The sequence below is a fragment of the Homo sapiens genome, chromosome 22 (genome assembly GCF_000001405.40).
Source record: "Homo sapiens chromosome 22, GRCh38.p14 Primary Assembly".
In the NCBI taxonomy this organism is placed as follows: Eukaryota; Metazoa; Chordata; class Mammalia; order Primates; family Hominidae; genus Homo; species Homo sapiens.
The window spans coordinates 45734782-45759774 of NC_000022.11; the positions used below are offsets into that span (position 1 = coordinate 45734782).

A 24993-nucleotide genomic window follows, 5' to 3' on the forward strand; every position below is an offset into this window, starting at 1 on the left:
TTGAATCTTGATTTCTTCTGTTACAGGCATATGATCTTGGAAAAGTTACTTAGCCTCTCTCTGCCCTTCTTTTTCTTGAAATGGGTTATATTATTATTATTATTATTATTATTATTATTTTGAGATAGAGTCTTGCTCTGTTGCCCAGGCTGGAATGCAGAGGTGTGGTCTTGGCTCACTGCAACCTCCGTCTCCCAGGTTCAAGCGATTCTCCTGCCTCAGCCTCCTGTGTAGCTGCAGGCACCCACCACCATGTCCGGCTAATTTTTGTATTTTTAGTAGAGATGGGGTTTCGCCTTGTTGGCCAGGCTGGTCTTGAACTCCCGACTTTGGGTGATCCACCCGCCTCGGGCTCCCAAAGTGCTAGGATTATAGGCATGGGCCACCGTGCCCGGCCAGGTTGTATTTTAATATAAACATTTAATATACAGATTGGTACATAGTTAATGTTCCCTAAATGTTATCTGTTATTATTTCAGTACCATTTAGTGAATAATCTTATCCTTTCCACTAATTTTTTTTTTTTAATTGAGACAGGGTCTCGCCCTGTTCCCCAGGCTGGAGCGTAGTGGTGCAGTCGTAGCTTGCTATATTCTCCAACTCCTGGGCTTGAGGATCCTCCCACCTACCTATATCATATCCTAAATTCTTTTATTTATTTGGATCAATTACTGGTTCCCTCCAAACAAATTGGAGGGAACCAGTAAGATGTTAACAACTGGAGAAGGGAGAATTCAGAGAGGTATGTGTTTATATGCCATAAAGGAACACTGAAATGAACACACAAAAAAATGCAGAAACTGATCTATCAACAAAGTAGTTGCAGTCCAGGCAGATATAACTAATTTGCATTTTAATGGACAGGAATAATTCTGTATTAATATAAGTTTTCTGTAACTTACAAAGCTGTAAAATTGCTCAAAGATACGAAATGACAGTGTTAACTGAGACAGGTGAGCTAGACAGGAGACTAATCTTTTTTTTTTTGCTCACTTCAAAATCTTTCACGATGTTCCCTTCATTTGCTTGTCTTTTTTTTTTTTTTTTTTTTTTTGCCCTAGTGCCTGATTTAATTAATATTAGTTTCATAAGACTTTTAAATATCTGGAAGGGCATTTTACTCATTAATCTTATTTTTTAAGACAGTAATTTTTCCTGGCTGTTCTTTCGTTACTAATTTCCAGATGCTCATTAGAAACACTTTCTTAATAAAATGATTTTAATGAGTAAAATTGTGAATGTGTTAGGTGGGGATAGATTAATTTTCTTTTAGGTTTATTTTAGTTAATATCATAGAATTTAAGAGCTGGAAGGAGACTTCCAGTTCATCTCTTCCAACCTCTAATTTTATTTCTGTCATTTTAACGTGGAAAATTTCAAACATAGACTAAGAAGAAAGTGTACTTATACTCCATATGCCATCCCCTGGCTTCAGCAGCTTCCCCTTCATCACCATTCTTCTTTCCTCCACAGTTCCACTCATTCTTATGCCAGTTGCCGTGGACTGAATCAAAGCTCCAACATATTTCATCAGTTACTCTAAAAGATAAGGAGTTTTCAGACACAAGTATAATATGAAGAAAACATCTAAAATAACTAATAATAACATTTATTATCAAATAAATAGTATTCAGATTTCCCCCATTGTCTAATAATCTTTTTCAAGTTTATTTTGTTGAAACACCTTACAGATAAGGGCCACCTTATCTGTAACACCTTACAGATAAGGGCAAGTGATTGACATAACTTTACTCCAGTGTATAGGTTCCCCTTTCCTCTTCTTTTTTTCCTCTTTGCTACTTATTTGTTGGAGAAACTGGGTTGTTTTTCCTGTAGACTTTTCTAGATTTTAGATTTTGATGAGTATGTCTTCAGGGTGGCACTTAACATATTCTTCTTTACCTTGCATTTCCTGTGAATGAAAATTCGTTCCAGAGGCATATTCAGATTTGGGTTAGTTTTTTTTGTTTATTTTTTGCAGTAGTGTTTCGCTGTTGATGATACTACTTTCGTCAAGAAGCACATGAGGCTTGGTTGTCTCTGTGATATTAGCAGTCATTAATGATCACCTAGATCCATGAATTCTTTAGGGGTTGCAAAATGGTGGCATTTTAACATTATTGTTCATTTTTTGTTTATTAGCAGGAATATTTTTTAAAGAGAAACTTTCCCTAACCAATTCTTAGGTTCTGTGAGGTACACTGGATGAAGAAAGGCAGGATAAGTGCTCGATTGTTTTCCCTCTTGATTACCAATCTTCAGAATAATGAGTTGGTTTTGTGGCATCATTCAAAGATGACCAGTGAGTTGGTTTGTTTTGTTTTATTTTCATTATGAAGCCATAGCTGTAAAACCGCTTGATTTGTTTTCAGTCCGTTACCGTTGTAATTCTTTCTGATGTTTAATGTGCCACTGCTGGCCGGTGGGAGCCTCATCAAGTTGTTTCTGATTCCGAATTTCTGACATGACCCTAGTAGCCTGTAATAGCGTCTTTGTTGTCTGCTATGACAAGATGTCCAGGGTTACCTTTTGCATGGGCTGTCCCAGGTCTGTTCTTGAAGGAGCAGTGGTATCTCACGATAACAATCTGGGCAGCTACACCTTTAACAAAAGAGGTTGATGAAGCTTTGTGAAATTGATGGAGTTGGTCAAGACTCGTTTTAACATGGTACTACTAATCTAGACTTCTAATCTAGATTTTCCCACTTAACTCTTTAGCAAAAGAAGGCTATGATATAAAATTAAAGATCCAAGACATTAAAAATATGAGTTGTTTTTTGCTATTTATTTTGAGATTTCAGAATACTATATTAATGTATTACCTTTAAATCTCTTAATTAGAAAACAGTAAATACACATTTAGAACTAACAAGGAAGTAATTTGTCTTTCTTTTGAAGAATGTTATCTCTTTTTTTTTTTTTTTTTTTTTTGTTTGAGGCAGAGTCTTGCTCTGTTGCCCAGGCTACAGTCCAGTGGCGTGATCTTGGCTCACTGCAACCTCTGCCTCCTAGGTTGAAACGATTCTACTGCCTCAGCCTCCCTAGTAGCTGGGATTACAGGCACCCACCACCAAGCGTGGCTAATTTTTATATTTTTTTTTACTAGAGACGGGATTTCACCATATTGACCAGGCTGATCTTGAGCTCTTGACCTCAAGTGATCTTCTGGCCTCGGCCTCCCAATGTGAAGAATGTTATCTTTATGGACTAACTTTATAATCTCTGCCACATTTTGTCAAATGATGGGTACTTTAAAAATGGGGTTCAAAATCTATACAAAAGTTACATTTAAAATTTTTGTATAGACTACTTAATGCTATGCAGTTGGTACTGGGTAGTTTCTTGGTCATGCAGTGTATTTGATAAATTATTTAGTAGCTATGTGAAGTAGCATTTTCAAACAGTACTGTCTTTCTAATCTACCAAGATATTGCATAGAAGTTCATATTTACCCAGAAATTATGCAAGTTCTTAAAGCCAGAGTTTTTTCAACCACAGCATTTTACAGGATTTCTGTGGACAAGAAATTAATGTATTTTATGGGATATTTGTATCTTTAAAGTGGAATTTGCATGCTGGGAATGCTTTAAAAAGAAAGTATTTGCATAAATGTCATGTACATAGCTAGTAATTTTGAACATTTATTCCACTGTTGGAATGTCTTTTTGCTTGAATAAGAACTTTTCTGACTCTTTGCTCCAAGAAGACACATAATGACACATAATCTTGCATTCTTGATGGCAGATGTCTGCTGTTAGTGAAAATGATGAGTCGTGTACATATTTCATACTTCTGTTTTGTTCTTCATAGTTTTGTTTTTCTCTTTGACTTATTACAAGCACAGACTCTTTAAATTTATTGAAATATTTTATTCTCTTACAGTTATTTATAACAGTTAAATAATTTCTCTTAAAATATGCTAAAAAGTTATGTTTTCTTTTCTTTCTAGGAGGCACTGGCTACAATTAGGCTTCTCGACGTCCTGTGCGAAATGACTGTGAATACTGAGCTGCTCGGCTATCTGCAGGTTTTCCCTGGCTTGCTGGAAAGAGTGATTGGTGAGTGAAATATCACACATTGTATTTTTAGCTAAGAAATCTTTGGCTTGTCATACTGTAATATAAATCCAAATACAAATCCTTAATTTTCAGTGTACTTTGGGAATTTTGTGAATATATTTTTTTGAGAGGAATCACAGTGTTGTAACAGTTCAGGCAGGCCAGATAAACCTGAGCCCATGTGTTTGTTCAGCCACTTCCCTTCTGTTAACTGAAGATTCCTTCTCAGTAATGTGAGGATAACAATGCCTGTTATGCATATAGTAGATGTTTCATCAATATAGGATGTGATGAAGAAGGTGGGGCAGGCAGGTTTGCGATGATGATTGTGGTTTTATATTACTATAGCTTTGTAAAATGTGGCAGTAAATTTTTCCCATTTACATTTAGTGAACACATAGAATGGTGTTTTATACATATTATATATACAAATCTTATGAGAAAAAGGTTTTAAACAAGAAACCATTGTTAAAAGTATTACCAACCTTGCTAAAAAGCTGTTTGCAAAATAATTCAAGTAGAACCTGTTCCTTGTGGCTAGCCATGCTTAGGTTTGCTGTTCATTATTTGCAATTTTTTCCTTTAAAAAGATGATACTTACTCTGGAGACCAGTGTCCTGAGAAAGATGACTTTGTGTCTAGCAGTATAGATGAGCTAGCAGTCAGCTGTAGAGGAAGATCCTTAGAATTCCTCATCAGTGTTGTATTTTGAGTACATTGCTTTTAGTGATAATTTAAATAAAACACCACAAACCTAGCACACTTGAGTGATTATGGAAGGAGCCTGAGTTTGGAGCCAGGGTCGATGTGGGTTGCCATCCCAGCTCTGCCAGGTGCCAACTTTTCTGAGCCTGTTGTTTTCTTCATTATAAAATTGGGAAAGTGATACCTTCCTGTATAGGTTTGTTGAGAGGGTTAAATGAGATAATGTGGAAACACTGAAATGCAGTTCCTGGAAGATTGTCTGTTTTCATTGGCTGCCTGGAGGTGCTCATAGAGTAGAGCAGTGGTAAGTTCTTTCTCCTGAATGTAGCTGGAGTGAAGTATAGAGAACATATGCTGGCTTCTGATGATTTGGCCAGTTGGATGAGGGAAAAATAAGCACTCTTCTTGGTTTCTGTCATATGCATCATTATGGATAGATATTGTGTTTTAGACTTCATTGACTGAAGTTATTAGAAAAGTTCTTTCATAAAGAAGTTGAGATTGGAAACCTTTTTGTAAGAAGGATGCTAGCAAACTTTTAGCTAACTTTTTTTGTAGATAAATAGAAACTCTGAGTTGGGGTAGTCATTATGGCTTATCTCCCCAAAACTAGAGTCAAAAAATTTAAAGCAAAGGCAGAAGAGCCTTCTAATCATTTTTTGAAGCAAAGGCAGAAGAGCCTTGTAATCATTATTTAAATAAAGCTTTCTGTGCTCTACCTTTAGCCTATTACAATAAATTAGATTTGTCTATGGAAAACTATTAGTACAACATACTAAAAGTTACTTTTCTGTGGAAAATGAAGTTTACTCTTTTGGTTATAGATCTTTTGCGGGTGATTCATGTAGCTGGAAAAGAAACCACAAACATCTTCAGTAATTGTGGTTGCGTGAGAGCAGAAGGTGACATCTCCAATGTGGCCAATGGGTTTAAGTCTCATCTCATTCGTCTGATTGGAAATCTGTGTTACAAGAATAAAGATAACCAAGACAAGGTAAGAGGATTTCTTAGTATGTATTATACATGTATGGCTTCATTTAGAATATAGTCCTTGGAAGACATTCACTCTTTTGGAGTGAAAGCTTGAGGTGCTTAGAAAGTAGCTTGGATAGAGAGATATATATTTTATATGAATACACACACACACACACACACACACACACACACACACACACATATATATACACACACACACGTGTGTGTGTGTGTGTATATATATATATGTATATGTTAATATATAGGCTCTTTGGAGCCTAGACAAATTTCTAACACACAGTAGATATTTAATAAACACTAGTTATTATTGCCTATTATCTTAAAAAACAAAGCTTAGATCTATATCCTATGTTTATGGACGATAGCATCATAAGCCTTTTCTTCTAGATGTTTTAAAATGGATATAAAAGGAATATAATATTTAAGTATGAAGTCTTTGAGGACCTAGTAGGCTGCTTTTAGAAACCTCTTATGTGCAGAAGAGCTTAAAGGTAGTTATATTGAGAATGTGAGAGAATGGTAAGAAAGATCTCAGGGCAGTTGGACCACATGCTTCAGATTGATCTCGCCTTTCTGTATTTTTCTGGAGTTTTACTTCGGGTGGCATTTGATTTGCTTAGTTAAATATTAATTAAATTTCTGCCAGATTATATTTTTCTAAGATGGTGGCAGAATGTCTTGCATTGTACATGTGTGTCTGCAGTATGACTTTGCCACTCCCCTGTCGAGGGTTGGCATCTATTTCTCCATCCACTTGAATCTGGGCAGGCCCTGTGGCTGCTGTGAGCAATCAAATATGTGATCCTATACCATTTGTAGCATAGCCCTTAACTGGTCTAGCTGATTCTATTTCTGGCTTCTTAGAAGCCCGTCACTATGTAAGAAGTATAGATTCCCAGAGATCACCTTGCTGCGAGTTGCTGAATACACATGGAAAAGCCCTGGAAGATAAGATACAATGAGGAGAGAGGAAAGGTCTGGTGAAGGAACATCAAGGCATGAGATGTGTGCGAGAAACCATCTTGGGAGTAGATCCATCCTCAGTTTCTTACTTGCCCAGCTGATGCCACATAGATCAGGGCCCCCCTACTGGGCATAGTCCTTCCTGAATTTATGACCCATAGTATTATGAGAAAAAGTAAAAAATAGAAAAAAAAAATAAGGGATATAGGTCCTGCTTCAGTTAGTAGCCCAGTCAGTTACTGTTGGACTGATCCTTCTTCAAATAGCAATTATAAACTTTGGACAAAAAATAGCCATGTGAAGACACTCGAATTTGACACAAACGGGCAGATTCTGGAGTGAAATTGATGCTTGGAAGAAGGGAATGACACAGTGTGTGGCATGCAGGGCAGTGAAAAGTCAGTTACAAAATCTTCCGTCTTTCTAGCTTGAAGAATCAAAGAACAGTTTGAGGGCAACCATGGCATTGGAAAGTGAGGGGGGAATTGTGGAAAGTAGAAAACAGACCCCAAACTCTGGGTGTCAGCTACCTAAATCTCTGCTAATGGCTGAATCACACGTGTGGGGCAGGCTCCAGGCAGCTAAGCTAAGGATGAAGTCATTGTATTGAGATTTGAGCTCCCACCCTAGAGTTTATAGTATTAAGTCCAACTTACACTGTAGATAATTAATAATTGCCCTCTAAAAAAAAAAATCAACACTCTTTAGAGGAATATAATATAATCCAGAATTGCCACAGCATAATGTATCCTGTAATGTCCAGGATACAGTTTACAATTGCTTGACGTTCAGGAAAATGTGACCTGTTCTCAATTGAAAAGATGATCAGCGGAGACTGACTGTGAGAGGACACAGATACTGGGCTTAGCAGACAAGGATTTTAAAGTACCAAATGTAACCGTGCTCAAGGATGTAAAGGAGATACGCTTCATAAGAGTGAAAAGGTGGGATATCTCAGCAGAGAAATAGAAACTATAAAAAAGAACCAAATGGAAATCCTAGAACTGAAAAATACAGTATCTAAAATAAAAAAAAAAAAATACCGAATGTGCTTAACCTCAAGAAAGATCACAGAGGAAAGAGCCAGTACACTTTAAGATACATCAGTAGAAATCATCTAGTCTGAAAAACAAAAGCGGGGAGAAAGATTGAAAATAAAACGGCCGCTTTAGGATGCTAAATGTTAGGGTAATTTGTTATGTAGCCGTTGATAGCTGGAATAATTCCTGTGAGACATGGCGCAGAACCAAACGCTAGACAACTTGCACTTTTAGTATATGGGCGCACCATTTTGGCAATCCTCATCTTCAGGAGAGTGAGACTACTGATTCCCCCCTTGGGAAATTACTGGACTGATTTTTGCAAAAGAAAGTTGATAGCGAATAAAGCACTTTACCTTTTTAATGACCAGGACTGCCTTTCTTGAGCACAAAAGAGGTGGTTTTTCTTGTGTTTAACTATTCTTTTGTTGCTAATTTGGACTGGCCTCTTATAGGAACAAAATGCAGTAACCCTTAAAAGGCTTGCGAAATAACTCACTGAAGTCAGGATCAGATTGCACCATAAGTAAATATGGAGTGTGCCCAAGTGCTGCTGTGCAGAGGTCACTGGGGCGCACAGGAAGTCGATGGTGTGTCCTGTCACTTGTGCAGTTGCTAATAGCACTGCTGATTTCTCAGCAAACAGTTTAGAGGGTATGAAGGAGTTCATTCTTTGAGTATCAACTCAAATGCCCTCTGTTTCTCTCAGTTTCTTACGTGTGTCAACAAAAGGCCTGAACCTGAAAGCATTACCTCTGGGATTTTTTTCCTCCTTCCAAAGACCGACACAACGCCGAAATCTTGTTCTGGATGTGCTAGAGTGTTCTTTATTCTTGTAGCCAAATCCTTGTTCCAGCTGGGTGTTACAGATATTTGCCTTGCTCATTGTTGCCTCAAGGGATGGAATTCACTCGCACTCAGATGACTTTGGTTATAGTTTTGGGAAAATGGAATGGATGGTTATGTAGCAGGTCTTTATCACGGGACCAGTAATTCTCAGTGTTTTGTCTTGATGGATTGTCTCACTTCTAACCCAGCTAGGGCTTTAAGGGAAATTTGGCTCTGTCTCTGCTCCAAGACTAAAGATCTGAGTTGGGAGGGATTTCGTATCATCTAGCCTAATTTGGGTTCCTCCTTTGCCCAGAAGACAAAAGGGACTGATGATTTATTGTTTAGTGTTTACTATGTCCTTGCATTGTGCTTAGTGAATTACATATATTATCAACTTTAATCTTTGCATCAGCCTTGCAAAGCAGGTTCTGGTAACCACATTTTAAGGAGAGGCCATCCAGTTAGGTGCAGAGCCCAGGGTAGAATTTGGATTTGTTTGCCTATTGAGTTCCCAGGCCTGTGCTCACTTCCTGCCCCATGGTGAGAACTTGCCAAAAGGTTGGAGAAAAGGGTTTAAAATAGACTTCCTGCAGGACTTCAGGCTGGAGGCTGGTCAGTCTGCGTCTCCTAGGCCAGCCAGGCCCCTTAGACTCCCTCCTGGTTGAAGTTGGGAGCTCTTGGGGGTCCTCTTATCCTTGTTTCTGATTCACCCATTCATCAAATACGAATGTTTGCTGGCTTGGGGATCCTTTGACGGGTAATTCAGGCAAGGTATTAATATCTTCTGTGGAGCTTCCATTCTGGCATCATCTGGGGACCATGCTTGCCTCTTTGAATCAGAATCTCAAAACTACTCATGACACAGATTTTCCTAAAATCTTTGTGTACTGCCTGATTCCTCTGAATTTTGAGCAAGACTCTTTCAAGCCCAACTGTGTCTGTGTTGTCTGTGTAACTTCATCCATTGCAGTGAGTATGGTGCCCACCTGCTGGATGGCCCTCTTACACTTGTGTGGCACTTTCCATTTTCCAGAGCTCTTTTCATCTGCTTTAGTTTGTTGGAGCCTTATGATACCTCTGTGGAAAGGGCTGAAAAGATATTTCCACCATCATTTTCTAAATGAAGAAACCAAGGCCCCGAGACCAAGTGTGATTTAACTCAGCTAGCACTTGCTGAGTGAGAATTGCCGTGTGCTGCATGCTCTGGAGAAGACAGTCGCTTTAGTGGTGGAATGACACATGTCCACTAGGAGCTGTAGCAAAAGTCCGTGTGGTGAGGCCTGTCAGAAAGGAACAGGGGGGTGATGTGTCCTCTGGGCTGGCTGTGCCAGGAGCATTTCTCTCTAAGGACAGGCACTGGACTGCCAGGAGCATGGTATCAACTGGAAGGATGGTCATCTTTCTTTGAGATACTTGTCTTTGGGCAAGATTTAAGAGAATCAAGGTACGTTGCCTCAGATTGAAAATCTGCACAGAAATGTATTTTATCCCAAATTCTCATGAGTCTTTAATGCTTAAGTCTGTACACGTGATAGATGTAGTGTTTCCTGAATTGTAAAGGAATTGCTAGACTTCCCTTTACCTCGTCATGGTAGGGAGGTGTCAAATCCTTACTGACTTCTATTCTTACCTTGTTTTTTTGTTCTCGACTTGTGTAGTATTTCCTTGCTACAACTGTAGTGATTAGTTTACTTCTAAACTTTTGTGGACCTAAATGGAGATTCTGTTTTGGTTTCTATTGTAAGAAGCACAAAGATACTAATGCTATAAACATGAAGAAAGCATTCTTCAGCTTCTTCTTTGTTAGAATAAGGAATGTATGGTTTACCTTTTTCTTCCCTATTCTTCTTCTTTTCACTATTGTCATAACCTCTTTAAGTGAATCTTTATTAGAAGAAAAACCAAACGTTTATTTCATAAAGCTAAGTGCATTTTTCAAATCGGACAGACAGATGATCTAGTTTATCTACCTTCCGCCCGCCAAGGAAATTGTATTGACTAGGATGGGCCATATATCCGTTCTGCTAAAGGTTATGGAACTGCTATTCAGTTTCTTCTCCTCCTCCTTCCTCCTCCCTGATTTAAAATATTCCCAGCAGTCACATACTTGATGATCCCATGTCAAATATATGTGCCTATAAATCTTTTACTATAAGCATACCTTAATTTTAAAGTAAGTCTGTACTGTATGAAAAAGTTCAACATGTAAAGACAAACTTTATTTGGCCCCTTCAGTTCTCAATTTTGAAGGCAGGTTCATTTATATACATAAAATAATCTTTGTAATACATTTTTCGTTAACTTTGTGTTGCTCATCATGTTACTCCCAGCATCTAAATTGTACCTGGCACATAGTAGGCATTCAGTAAATTTTTCTAATTTTTCTTGAATGACAATTTATTTGTAAAATAAATTGAATGTTGAATGTTTACTACATATCAAGTGCACTTTTAGGTTCTGAAGATACACAGCAAGTAAGACAGTTCTTTTCAAGGAGTGTAAATATTACTATACAATTTTCTGACTAAATTTACAAAGACTAGTAAAAATAGATAACTTTTCAAATGAAAATTAATGTTCCTTTAAATTCTGAGTTCTGTATTTTTGAAAGTCTTTTTTTATGTTTGAATATATTCTAATTTACTGTAATTTGCCATCGTTTTATTTGATCCAAATCATATATATTTTAGATTATAAGAACATCTGTATTGTATAATATTTGCAAGTAATTAAAAAATATTTTTTAAATCCTAGGTTTAGGCTTCGTAGATCTGAATGCGGTTTTTTCATTAATCTTAAATAAAATTTAAGACTGAATTTACAGTTGTTAAACATTCATAACATGATCAATTTTTAGTGGGTTTTTTGGTGGGGTGTACTATTTTCCACCCTTTTTGTATCTAGTTGCAAGGAGCCAAGAACAGGCAAATTATTAACTCCTTTATTATTTCCTCCTGTCTGAAATGTTTTCAAGCAGCGTATTTGTCTGTTAAATCATGAAAAACTGAAAAAAAAAGTCTATGGCTATTTCCTAATGATTTTATTTAGGTTGTTGCTCTTAATGAGGATTAGTACCTGTTTTGTACATCAGTACTGGCTGACTTGTCAGTTACTCGGATAATTGATCGAGTGATTGCTCTGCAGAGAAATAAATAAATGCTTAACTAATATGTGTTAGTGTTTTTCTTTTTGCAACTGTAAAATAGGCCGGGGTGGCATGGCCCTTGGTGCTCAGGCAGGGCCAGCTTCTATATTCTCAGCCTATACTAGCACTGTGTGGACTTCCCAACCTTCATACTTTCCCTGAGTGACCTTAACTTGGCCTTCAGAACTCAAGGTCACAGGTACCCTGTTGACCTGTGCAGAAACACTTTCTCTTCTACGCTCCTCACTATACTCTTCTGCCCTCTGCTCACCCCCTGACTTACACTCTACCTATAATCAGTTTCTGTGGGTAAATAGGTTATGGGTTGTTGATTCTGATGCATATTTCAGTATACGTGTGCTGTTGTTTTTGGTTTTACTTAATAAGTGTTTAGTGTGATACACATACGTAAACTGATCACCAGCAGAACTGTGACATATGAAACACTTTATTTGGGTATCACTCAATTTTACTGTAGCAGCCTCCATCCCTTCTTAGTTATACCACCGTTACCACCACTTTTGTCCTTGCTCCTCCCTTGATGTTTTGTCTTTCATGAAACCCATCTCCCAAGGTCTTTCTGGATGATAATGGCTTAATTCACTCTCTTTCCCAGATACATGTTTTTCCTTCTTTATAGGAACCTAACTCTGCCTGTCTAATTGGGGAATTCCAGGCAGGGTATTGAAAATGTCTGGGGGGCCGGGTGCAGTGGCTCAAGCTTGTAAACCCAGCAAGCACATTGGAAGGCTGAGGCGGGAGATTGTTTGAGCTCAGAAGTTGGAGACCAGCCAGACAACATAATAAGACTCCATCCCTACAAAATATTTAAAAATTAGCTGAGTATGTTGATGCATGTTTGTAGTCCCAGCTGTTTGGGAGACTAAGGTAGGAGGATTGCTTGAGCCCAGGAGGTCGAGGCTGCAGTGCACCGTGATTGTGCCACTGTGTTCTAGCCTCGGTGAGGGTGTGAGACCCTGTTTAAAAAAAAAGAAACAGAAAATGTCTGAGCAGTGGGTTCTCCTGTCACTGACTTTTCTGTCATTGCTTGGCTTGTAACATTGGATCCACGTGTGTGCTGTTTATAGAGGAACCTTACAACAGGCAGAGAGCTTATGAGACTTTAGAGTTCAGTAAACTCAGAGTTGCCTCTTAGTTGACCATCTATTAACTGTTTAAATTTGGACAAGTGTCTCAACCTTTCTGAATCTCAGCTTCTTCATGTATAAAATAGGGGCAGTTACACCTCCTTGTGGGGTTGGGAGGATTAAATGTGATCATGTATAGGAAGTATCTCATGTCTGTAATCCTAGTACTTTCGGAAGCCGAGGCAGGAGGATCACTTGAGCCCAGGAGTTTGAGAGCAGCCTGGGCAACATAGTAAGACCTCCCATCTCTAAAAAAATAAAATAAATAGCCGGTATTTCCAGTTACTTGGTGGGGCCAAGGCAGGAGGATCGCTTGAGCCCAGGAGTTTGAGACCAGCCTGGGCAACGTAATAAGACCGTTTCTCTAAAAAAATTAAAAAATTAGCCAGTGCTCCCAGGTGCTTGGGGGGCTGAGGTGGGACGGTTGATTGAGCTCAGTAGGTCGAGGCTACAGGGAGCCGTGATCGTGCCACTGCACTCTAGCCTGGGCAACAGAGCGAGACTCTGTCTTTAAAAAAAAAAAAAAGTATATAATGGATTGCCTTATGTCTCTAACTATAATACTTCCGTGTCCCTCCTCTTACCCTCCCTACCAGTCCCTTTGGAATTGAAAAGATCTAGTTCATTCCAGTGTCTCCCCATTATATGTATTTACATAGAAATTTGTAGACAACATTTCACAAGGATTTGCAAAGTTCAAAGTAAACCTCATATTCTGCATTCTGTGTGTATTACTTTTTCTAATAGATGGGGCTTTATGGAGGAAGTAAAATGAAAACAAATATGAGAACTTTCTTTAGGATGAGAGTAATTTTGATTCTTGTCATAAATGTTTTCTGACTTGAATTTCTCTTATGTTATTATCTAGTAAAGAGCTGAAGTGTTTTCCGCGTGAATTCCAAAATCTGTTCTAGCTCAATTCTGAAAGTATGTTAAGGAACTTTTAAATTACAGGGCATATGTCTTACCTCAATTGGATTGTGCGTTTTTCCTGTGTTTTTCCTCTTGTCAGAAGCAAGTTGCACCAAATCTCAGCTTATTGATTTGAAGATTGAATGTATAGGCAAGATCTGGCTTGCTTAGAATTCCACTTCTTTGTAATGTAATCCCAGATCAAGAAATATGTCAAAATTCATAAATCAAACTGTCACCATTAGTTCCCTGAACTTACAGTTCCTGTAACAGTAAATGAAATTAAAATTCCTATCTAGAGGAAACCTATCATGGTTTAGGTTGTTGCAGCTGTAAAATTTTTTTTAAAAGACTAAAGGATGGTCTACCATTTGACTCCAAAAACCCCTTTTCTATGTCTTGTTCTACAATAATTGACTTATTCTCTTCCAGGAAATGCATAACATTATTTAAAAAGAAGAATGATACTAATTATATAATTGCAATGTAACAGCGTACTATTGTCGATAACCATTACTATTGCAAACTAACTAGGCTCCAGGCCCTTGACCTGTGCTTCATCGTGGAATTCCTACCACTGCATATTCCTCCCTAGGCTTTAAGCGTGAAGGCAGACACATCATATTTGGCTTAACACCTGCCGTAACACTGGGTACATAGTGTAGTGAAATTAATGGACGCTGGATGACTTTGCTTGCTTTACTGGTGAGTCAAGCGTAGAGTAGTTACTTGCTTGGAGCGATAGCAGGCCAAATTCTGACTCCAGAGCCCATACTTTTCCTGTTACCATCCACTGCTTCCACCGTCACCACAAAAGAAGATGTTTGAGACTGGTCCTTTGAAATCTATGACCAAATTTGTGTGACTCTTTGAGGTGGCAGGACATTGTATTACAGCTTTTTCCACAATTCTTACTGAACTTTTTTCATTATCATCTAATGTCTAGTGTTTTAGTAAATGTAGTTTCTTTTTTCTTTCCCTTTCTTTTTTTCTTTTTTAAGAGGTGGGGTCTTGCTCTGTTGCTCAGGCTGGAGTGCAGTGGTGTGATTATAGCTCATTTTAGCCTTGAGCTCATGGGCTCAGGCAGTTCTCCTACCTCAGCCTCCCACATAACTGGGACTGCAGGCATGTGCCACCATGCCCGACTACTAAAAATTTTTTTTTGGTAGAAAAACAGGGTCTTACTGTGTTGCCCAGGCTGGTCTCAAACTCCTGGCCTCAGGCAGTCCTCCTTCCTTGACCTCCCAAAGTGCTCGGATTACAGGTTTGAGTCACCTTACCTGGCCTGAATATGGTTTCTTTAAGGTTCATGTTGAGGGCTACATTTCAGGCACATGCGTATTTCCGAGAAGCATAATTTACCCCATACTGTAGACACAGAAAGGGAGACATTGGGGAAGTAATGTGCTGCCCATGATGATTCCGCAGTTTGTAAAAGTCATGAATCCAGTTTTCCTAACTGCTACTCAGTTTTCTTTACTTACGCCATATGATCAATTTTTAGATAACAGACGTTTTAATTTAATTTAATTTTATTTTTGAGACAGGGTCTTGCTTTTGTCACCCAGGCTGGAGTGCAGTGGTGTGATCACAGCTCACCGCAGTTCTGTGCTCAAGTGATCCTCCCGCCTCAGCCACCCAAGTAGCTGGTACTAGAGGTATGTCACCACACCTGGCAAATTTTTGTATTTTTTTTTGTAGAGGTGGGATTTTCCCATGTTCCCCAGGCTGGTCTTGAACTCCTGAGCTTGAGCAGTCTGTCCACCTTGGCCTCCCAAAGTGCTAGGATTACAGGTGTGAGTCACCACGCCCGGCCGACAACAGTGATTTTAAATGGATTTGTGTTTAACAGTAAAAAACAATTATTTCACAGTATCCAAAAAGAAGAATATCTGAGACTTGGGTGAGGGGAAAACCAGCTGTATAAACTGAGAGCTGTACCTTGTTCCTGTATGGAAGTATGGAATATGGGAAAGATATTAGTTATTTTTAAACTGATTTTTATTACTAGACCAATTAAAATCCCACTGTGAAAAATAAGCCATAATTTTGACTATAAAATGAAAATAATTGAGGAATTGTCATATCAATATTAAAATATACTTTAAGGCTAAAATAATCAAAACAATTTACAAAAGTTTATAGGTTAGTGGAGGCAGACATAGTTTCCAAACAGACCCAGGAGAAGTTATACGAATTTACCATGTGATAAGGATAATCCAGCAACCCGGGGAGAAAAGGAAAGCTTATTACAAAAGCTTGTAAAAAAGCTTATGTAAAGAGTTTTTCTCCATGATAAGAAGAGAACATGCTCCGTTCATTAGTGATTGTAGTAATTCTTTCTTTCTTCTACTTTCCTGTTTTTTTTTGAGACAGAGTCTTGCTTTGTTGCCCAGGCTGGAGTGCAGTGGTGTGATCTCAGCTCACTGCAACCTCTGCCTCCTGAGTTTGAGTGATTCTCCTGCCTCAGCCTCCTGAGTAGCTGGGATTACAGGCATGTGCCACCATGCCTGGCTAATTATTGTATTTTTAGTAGAGACGGGGTTTCACCATGTTGCCCAGGCTGGTCTTGAATTCCTGACCTCAAGTGATCTGCCTGCAGCGGCCTCCCAAAGTGCTGGGATTACAGGTGTGAGCCACCATGCCCAGCCTCTTTGTTCTTCTTTTATACTTTGTACACCTCTTAACCCTTCTTTGGCCAAGATCTGGGGGCTTTAGCAATGACAATTTCAATTATACTTTCAGTTGAAAGATTTTTAAAAGTAAAACGTTAGCATTGGATCTGGAGAATTTTGCTAACTGAGATAATTAATAGCTGGGCTGGTGGTGATAGGGTTTGTGTGTTTTTGAGAGAGAGAGAGAGAGAGAGAGGAAGAGACAGACAGAGATGGAAATATAAAGATCATTCTTCCACTGTTATATGTGTTTTTTCCCCTTTAAAGGAATAGGCATTTGAATTTCCTCTCTGTTGTCAGGTGTTCTGACTTGGGTACATCAGCTCTTACTGAGTGCTTGAATGTTCAGGATTTCTATGACATATCTCAATCTAATGAAAATCTGACTGTGAAATGTCTATATATCTCCCCAGGCTTCGTTTTCTTGGTTAAATGAGAAAAGTGCTCTTATTTCAAATGTTGGAAAGTAGCTCTACCTTTTTCTGGAAAAAAAAAAAAAATAAAAAAAAAATAATAATAATAATAATAATAATAAGATGGGAAATGTCTGTCCCACATCTAAAGCAGTTTTGATCTTTAGCATATTTAGTTTTTTTTTTTTTTTTTTTCCTGGCAGCAGCTGAAAATTAAGAGGATCAAAGTTATGTTCCTATAAAAGACTTTTTTCCTGTCAGTGCTTGAAGGCATTGTCTGACTCCCCCCACCCCCACGTTTTAAAAGCTGATTGCTTATCTTATTCAGGTAGAATTTAATTTCATGCCCATCATATTCTAATAGAACAAAAATGATACTTAGTTTCAGACTGTGGATTTTAGTTTGAATTCAAACCTACTGCTATATTGCAGTTAAAGTTGGGAATATTTTTTACTCCAAATAGAAATGAACGTGCTATTTTGGCATAGTGGTAAGAGCTTGTAGTTCAATTCAACAAGTATGTGTTTGCCATATGCTGTGTACCAGCCAGTATTCTAGACACTGGGAATGCAGAAATGGATTTGGCCTACTGTTCTCTCGAGGAATTCACAGTGTAAAGAAGGAGACAGATGTAGAAACTATCATCTCAGTATCATAGAATAAGTGGTGTGTGACAGGATTGAGAGCCAGTAGAAAAGTACCTAAGTGCTTGGTATAAATGGCTCTACTTGGAACTTCAGGAAGAACCTCCTGGATCCAGGCCTTGAAGGATGAATGAGAAAGAGTTAGGCAGTTAGAGGAGTAGGTCAGCCTTGCAGGCAGTGGGTGAGCAGGTGTGTGGGACAGTGCAGGACCCAGTGGCACCTGAGGGGTTGGGGTTGGGGTTGGGGTTGGGGTTGGGGCTGGGGCTGGGGCTGGGGCTGGGGCTGTGCCAGAGAGCTGGCCCCTTGGCTGCACGATGGGCTCTGCACTCACTGTGGGAACTAAGGGTTAGGCCATTTTCAGCGTTAGTAGATTCCTTATTGTAGCTCTCATTTCTGAGGATTATTTTGTGGTTCTTTTTCAGATCCACTTCTTTTTTTTTTTTGAGACGGAGTTTTGCTCTTGTTGCCAAGGCTGGAGTGCAATGGTGCGATCTCGACGCAACCTCCGCCTCCCAGGTTCAAGTGATTCTCCTGCGTCAGCCTCCCGAGTAGCTGGGATTACAGGCATGCGCCACCATGCCCAGCTAATTTTTGTATTTTTAGTAGAGGTGGGGTTTTCCCATGTTGGTCAGGGTGGTCTTGAACTCCCGACCTCAGGTAATCTGCCCACCTCGGCCTCCCAAAGTGCTGGGATTACAGGCGTAAGCTACCGTGCCCGGCTGATCAACTTATTTTTTATTGTGTTGTCCATCTTCGTCTTGAGTCATTTAAGACACTTATTTTCTCTTGGAGATTGTTTTTATTTCTAGTTTTTAGGGTATGGTTTTTCTCATTTGTTCTCTCTCATTTCCCTCTTCCCTTAACCCCTCCCCTCCTCCTCTCCACCCGCGGTTTCTTTTCCCAGTGATTTTTTTTTTCTGTCTTTTAACTTGATCTCATCTTCTTAGGAGAAACCTTTTTCGGCAGAAGTCCCATAGGTCCTGGCTGTGGACTTGTATTCACAGAGCGATTTGCTTTTGTTTTCATCTCCTCGGGTCCTAGAGGGTCCACTCACCTCTTACCAGCTTTTTTTTTTTTTTTTTTTTTTTTTTTTTTTTTTTTTTTTTTTTTTTTGAGACAGAGTCTCGCTCTTGCCCAGGCTGGAGTGCTATGGTGTGATCTGAGCTCACTGCAACCTCCGCCTCCCGGGATTAAGCGATTCTCTTGCCTCCGCCTTCCTAGTAGCTGGGATTACAGGTGTGCACCACCATGCCCAGCTAATTCTTTGTATTTTTAGTAGAGATGCGGTTTCACTATGTTGGCCAGGCTGGTCTCGAACTCCTGACTTCAGGCAATCCACCCGCCCCAGCCTCCCAAAGTGCTGGGATTACAGGTGTGAGCCACTGCGCCCATCTCAGTTTTTATATTAATATAATTTCTTGACTTGGGATTCTAGTACCACACTGACAATGTGACTCTGGATGCAGTAGCTGCCTGTGATAATGGTCTTCCCTGGTCCCCCACTGAGATGTCGAAGCAACCCAAAACCTTTTTAACTGCTACACAGAGATTTTGATGATGTGGCAGCCTGTGATGGGGTCCCATCCTAGACTAGAGTTTTTCATTCTTTGTCTCTGCCCTTTGTAAGCCAAAAGCCACCTACTTGTTTGCAGTCCTGAAAACTCTAGCCTCCAGGAACCTTGTCCTAGTTGGATCCTGCATGCCTCCACTCTTGTCTGCCTCTCTGGGTTTTATTTCTGGCCTCTGAGAATGATGCTCACACTGCCCAGTGGCAGGACGCAACCTGGGTTCCTGAGCCTTATGGGGTTAAGTGCAAAAGTGAGTCCTGTCAGCTAAGCAGGAGCTGCTGAGAGACGACCCACGGAGGTGGGCTCCAGCAGCTTGGCACGTGTACCTTCGTGGTGCATGGGAAATTTTGATTCAGGTGAAAAAACAGTTTAAATTCTAGGATATTCTTGCTTTCTACCCAGGCAACACCTCACATGTTGACTTAACTTGTGAGTCTCCCTTTCTTCATCTGTAAAGTAGAGATGATTTTACTTCCCTCATACATTTATTGTGAGGATTAAATTACTATTGATGACAGCAGTCACAGTGACCTTCCATGAATGCCTCCTGCATGTGCTTGAGTGGGATGTTTCAGAGGTGTGTTTTGTTTTATCTCATCCTCTTCAGAGCCTGTGCTTACTGTGTCATTCTGCCTCTCTAAGTTAAATGTGCAGGAAAGGCTTCCTCAAAGCCACTCAGTGGTGGGAGTGCTGTCTCAGTAGTCCCGCAAGCCTGTAATCCCAGCACTTTGGGAGGCCGAGGCCAGCGGATCACCTGAGGTCAGGAGTTCGAGACCAGTCTGACCAACATGGTGAAACCCCGACTCTACTAAAAATACAAAAAAATTAGCCAGATATGGTGGCTCATGCCTGTAGTCCCAGCTACTTGGGAGGCTGAGGCAGGAGGATCGCTTGAACTCTGGAGGCAGAGGTTGCAGTGAGCTGAGATCGTGCCACTGCACTCCAGCCTGGGCAACAGAGTGAGACTCTGTCTCAAAAAATGTCTTGGCCCTCCTTGCAACAGGCTCTTGGGCAGGCAGCCACCATGAAGGGGTGCCAAGAGTATGAGAAGCATGAGGTCCATGCCTGTTCCTTCTCTGCCTGTGAGCTGCGAGACCGTCCCTCAACACACAGGACTGACTGGCTGTCTCTCACAAGCCAGCATCCTGGTGCTCAGGAAAGCCAGGTGGCAGGGCATGGGGAAGGAGTACCACCTGTGGCCCTGTGCTGGTCACATGTGTGGCCCTCAGAGGAAATCTCCAACCCTCCAAACGCTTGTTCAGGACTTCCTGTGCCTGCACAGTGCTTGTAAATCCTGCAGCAGTGGCCCATTCAGATAGTCAGAGGTGTGGCCTGATTTCTCCATGACCCTCTATCCTTCCGATATTTTCATCGTGATAGGAATTCCACTTTTAACTTTTCATTTCCTTTAGTTCAGATCTATGTCAAAATGCAAACACACCTTGGAGGGGAAATGTTTTAAGCCCTCATCCTTCTTTTACATACTTGTATGGATGTATTTCTAATCATAACAAACTCTGATTAGGGGGCCTCAAGAGACCAAGGAGGAGCAAGAAGAGGTGTGAAGGTTCTCTGGCCGTTCTGCCTTCTCACTGCCTCCCAGGCTCTGCTCCTTTCCCCTTCCCTCCTCCTGGCCGCACTAAGTTCTGGGGTTGGTTACTGTCATCAATATCTTGTTGGTGTTTTTCATGCTACTAATAGTAATAATTTGTGTATATTTGGAAGTACCCCTGTGTCTTTTGGGGGAAAGGTATTATTAACTTGGTTTCTTCTATAGATTGGAAAAATAAAATTTTGAACCTTATTCAAGACCCTGAAAAAGTAAACTGTTTCCAAAATGAATAATAATGACCAGAGTCAACAGTAGTGCAGGGGAGCATTTTATAGTGCTCACTGTGTGTCAGGTACTCTTCTGAGCCCTTAAATATATCAGTGCGTTCATCCTCATGATATTTCCTAGATGGGAACATATTATCCCCATCATAGAAATCTGTGAACTGAGCCACATCAGGGTTCAATAGCTTGCCTGAGGTCACACACAGCCAATCAAGGGTGCAACCGCATAAGAACCCAGGTGGCCTGGCCCCAGACCCATGCTCTGCACCACTACATAGCCACCCACCCACCTCCTCCTTCTGCCATGTTTGGCACAGACTTGGCCTTGGCCAAGTCTCTGAGAGAGGTGACCACTGGGCATGCCATTAGCCAGAGTTTTCCATGTTATCGTAAATTAAGTTTAAAATGGAATTCTCTTTGTTTACCTAGACTTTTTTTTTTTTTAAAGAGACAAGGTTGTGCTTTCTCACCCAGGCTGGAGTGCAGTGGTGTGAACGGGCTCACTGTAGCCTTAAACTCCTGGGCTCAAGGGATCCTCCCACCTCAATCTCCTGAGTAGCTTGGACTACAGGTGTCCACCACCATGCCTGGCTAATGTTTAAATTTTTTGTAGAGATGAGGTCTTGCTGTGTTGCCTAGGCTAATCTCGAGCCCCTGGGCTCGAGTGATCTTCCTGCCTTGCCTCCCAAAGCATTGGAATTATAGGCATGAGCCACCACACTCGGCCCCAGACCCTTTTTAAGTAATCAATATTCTGTGTACAGGCTTGAAAGACTGACATTTCCAAAAAGATATATTTATTAGAGGAAATTGTGTACCAACTTTAAGCAAGAGAATATGTATGCTTTAATCATTTGAGAAAAATGAACTATTGCTTGAAAAGAAAAGAGCTAAATATGTTGAACTTTTCCCAGTCCAGCTGAAACTGCCCTTCAGAGTTTACTGTGGGGTGGGGATGGGGGTTGTGATTGTCCTTTTCAGGTTGAACTTTTTGTATTATTGTACATCTTATGTTACAAATCCTTCTACAAGCTGCACTTAGCTCATATTACTCTCAGACATTGAATAATTGGTTTAATGTGAGACTACTTTCTGGGAATGATTCATTGGTATTTATTTGACATGTTTTAGTGATAATATTGAATATATCCACTGGAAAAATCCAAGAGGAACCTTTAAATGAAATCATTTCCATGGCAGAGTTGGGGGCAAGAGAGGGAGTTGGAGTTGATTTCTCATCGTGTGAATCCCACTCCATCAGCACGTGGAAACTGAGGAAGAGGGAAGGAGTGGAGAAGAACCAGACGAGAGACACGGTTCCAGATGCTTTCCCAAGTGGCTGTGCCCTCCTCCTATTTGCGGAGGAATGGCTTTGGTCTGCACCTGCAGCTCTGGACGGACTGCCTGGGGCTGGGGCTGTGGAGGCGGACGACTGGGGAGTCTGATGGGGAGGTGGGTGGCGGGGGTGTTGACAGGAAAAATCCGACTGGCGGCCTTGGAGCAGTTCGAAGAGAGGGCGTGTCCTTTGCCTGTTGGAATTCCAACCCTGGCGACTTTCAGCTACACCCTCCTCCCTCCCCTAGCCCCACACAAAACAAAAATGCCTCAGAGCTTCAGTGTAACTGGAGCAATACCAGCTGATTCTAACAGTGTGGCCCAGCAGCGCCTGCTGGCTGGGAGCAGGGACAGAAAATGCCTGAGGCTCCGAGGTGGGAGCCCAGGCTGGGATTCAGGATTTCGCTGCTCCCCGTTCAAGGCCTCTGGAGAATGTTCCAAAGGGAGGTGTGGATGTTTCATTCAGTACTTTGGAGGGAGAAAGAAATGGGTTCTTTCTCTGTATTCTCTAAGATAGATTTGTTCTTAATCTTGAAAAATCATTTCTAGCCATTTTAGAAAAAAAAAAACATTAGTACAGTATTAGTAAATATGGATGGGATAAAATTTTTTTTACATACACATAGGATTCAATACATTTTTCATATGCTGACCTTATAAGTCATATTGTTTTGAAATTATATTTATTAAAAATGTGATTAGAGTTATATTCATTCATGTTTGATTCTCTTTTAAGAATTATTCTCTATTAGTACTTTTCTTACATGATTCAACTTGGACTTATTAGAGAAATAAACTCTGGCACACTTTCTCCAGTCATATTCGTTGAGCCTGTATTTATAAAATTGGCATTTATTGGACCTCTGCTGTGGATACTATTTACTTCTTTTGAAATTTGTAAAAGAAGAAAAAAAGTTGAGCTTTTGTGATGACACACAAATTCAAACTAAATTTGATGCTTCCAAAGTATATGGCAGAGACGGATGCAACTATTCGTTACCAGAACAGTGGCGTCAGGAAGCCCCGTGCAGTGGGTAGGGGACACCTGGTGCTGCCTCCACACCCTGCCCCTGCCAGCCCCTGTTGTCCTGAGCTTCCGCAGCTCCCGCCTGACGTTTGGCTCAGAGTCGTCCACACTGCTCGTGTCCCTCGGCTGTGGAGCAGGGCCACAGTCTCCCTGCAGGGTTGTTTGGAGTTAGCTGAGCCAGCGTGTGGAAAGCATAGGTACTTGACAGACCACCAGTGCCTCCATGGAGCACCACCATTGTTAACTGCAGGCTTCTCTAGCCATTTAGAATACATATGAAGACTCAGAAAAACCAGTTTTACTTTTAGGAAATTACATATTCATGGCTTGAGCTATAGCCACTGACTTTGTGCTTGGAACAAAATACATAATTCTTTTTGGTTCAAAAGATTAGATTCAAATTATTGGTCATCAGAAACTGAAGTTTCCTAAGGCATATCACACGTAATTCAAGGTTGCTTTGATGTGTTATTCTGCTAATCCACAACCATGGAAGTTCCTGGTTAGTGCAATGTTTCATGCTCTGACAGCTATCTTTAAGATGTTGTTTTTGGGTTGCCAGGTGTTCATTTAAACACACTGGCCATGTGTTTGCACACGCACATGTGCATACACATAGCCACTGCGGAGCGCCAGGAGCTGTAACTGAACGTGGACTTGATAGAGCAGTATGCGATGTTTTTGTCTTCAGGGCAAGCTCTTGATGCATAGCTTCATGTGACATCTCGTTTATAACAGCCTGAGGCATCAGTAATCTTTATAGCAAGAATTCTAGTGCTGTGTTATGCATACCAAGCTTACCGTTTATTCTGCCCAGTAAATACATGGCTTTTATGGAGTCATAAATCATGACAGTAGGAGTCATACCTCTCCAAAAAAGAAGAGATTTAAATCTTTAGAGTTAACAAGATTTAATGTAATTTAGACATTATTCTTACTTAGAAGTACCATTCTTATTTAAAGGCAGTATATCTCATATCTTTAAAGATAACTTTAGAAACTTACTGCCAGAGAAACAAATATTGATTAAGAGCACACTGTGTGCCAAGCATTATGCGAGGTGCTGGAGAGAAGGAAGGGGAAGAAAAGGTCCTCACCCTCAAGTAACTTGAAGCTTAGAGGGACAATGATAAATAGTAAAAGATTCTAGAGTCCGGGCATGGTGGTTCACACCTGTAATCCCAACACTTTGGGAGGCTGAGGTGGGCGGATCACCTGAGGTCAGGAGTTCAAGACCAGCCTGGCTAACATGGTGAAACCCTGTCTCTACTAAAAATACAAAAAGTAGCCGGGCGTGGTGGCGCATGCCTGTAATCCCAGCTACTCGGGAGGCTGAGGCGGGAGAATCACCTGAACTCGGGAGGCAGAGGTTGCAGTGAGCCGAGATAGCATCACTGCACTCCAGCCTGGGCAGAGCAAGACTCCGTGTCAAACAAACAAACAAAAAAGATTCTAGAGCAGTCTGATCAGGGTGAGGGTTCCGTACTCTTCTTGTGCCATGAAGCAGGAGGAAAGGCCTCCTGAGGGAGCTGAGGCTGCACGAGGATGAGCAAGGTTTCATAATGTCCTCCAGAGGCCAGTTTACCAAGCTGCATCAGCTCCTCCCTCCCAGCCACCCTGCCCTTCATAAAGCTCTAGTTTTGTAGGGGATGGGGTGGGATGGGGTCACACCTCAGCTGCCGGCATGAGCTAAGGG

General features: G+C 40.7%; 1 protein-coding gene across 3 annotated transcripts in view, besides 2 other annotated features; it reads left to right on the forward strand.

Annotated features, from left to right (window-relative positions):
• ATXN10 (ataxin 10) overlaps window positions 1–24993 on the forward strand; it is a 173474-nt gene that overhangs the window by 62948 nt on the left and 85533 nt on the right. For all 3 annotated transcript variants that reach the window (NM_013236.4, NM_001167621.2, XM_047441314.1), the window contains 2 exons: window positions 3950–4058; window positions 5588–5757. In NM_013236.4, coding sequence (NP_037368.1) covers window positions 3950–4058; window positions 5588–5757 — 279 coding nt within the window. The remainder of the gene's footprint in view (window positions 1–3949; window positions 4059–5587; window positions 5758–24993) is intronic.
• Window positions 15272–15469: a silencer, noted in NCBI's record as "fragment chr22:46145933-46146130 (GRCh37/hg19 assembly coordinates)". NCBI's record gives its function as "represses an EF-1alpha promoter that drives an FKBP-Casp9 reporter gene in an ReSE screen in K562 erythroleukemia cells {active_cell/tissue: K562}" and the evidence as "EXISTENCE:reporter gene assay evidence [ECO:0000049][PMID:32094911]".
• Window positions 22886–23884: an enhancer, noted in NCBI's record as "H3K4me1 hESC enhancer chr22:46153547-46154545 (GRCh37/hg19 assembly coordinates)". NCBI's record gives its function as "activates a minimal SCP1, AML or CMV promoter by ChIP-STARR-seq in naive H9 embryonic stem cells {active_cell/tissue: H9 hESC(naive)}" and the evidence as "EXISTENCE:reporter gene assay evidence [ECO:0000049][PMID:30033119]".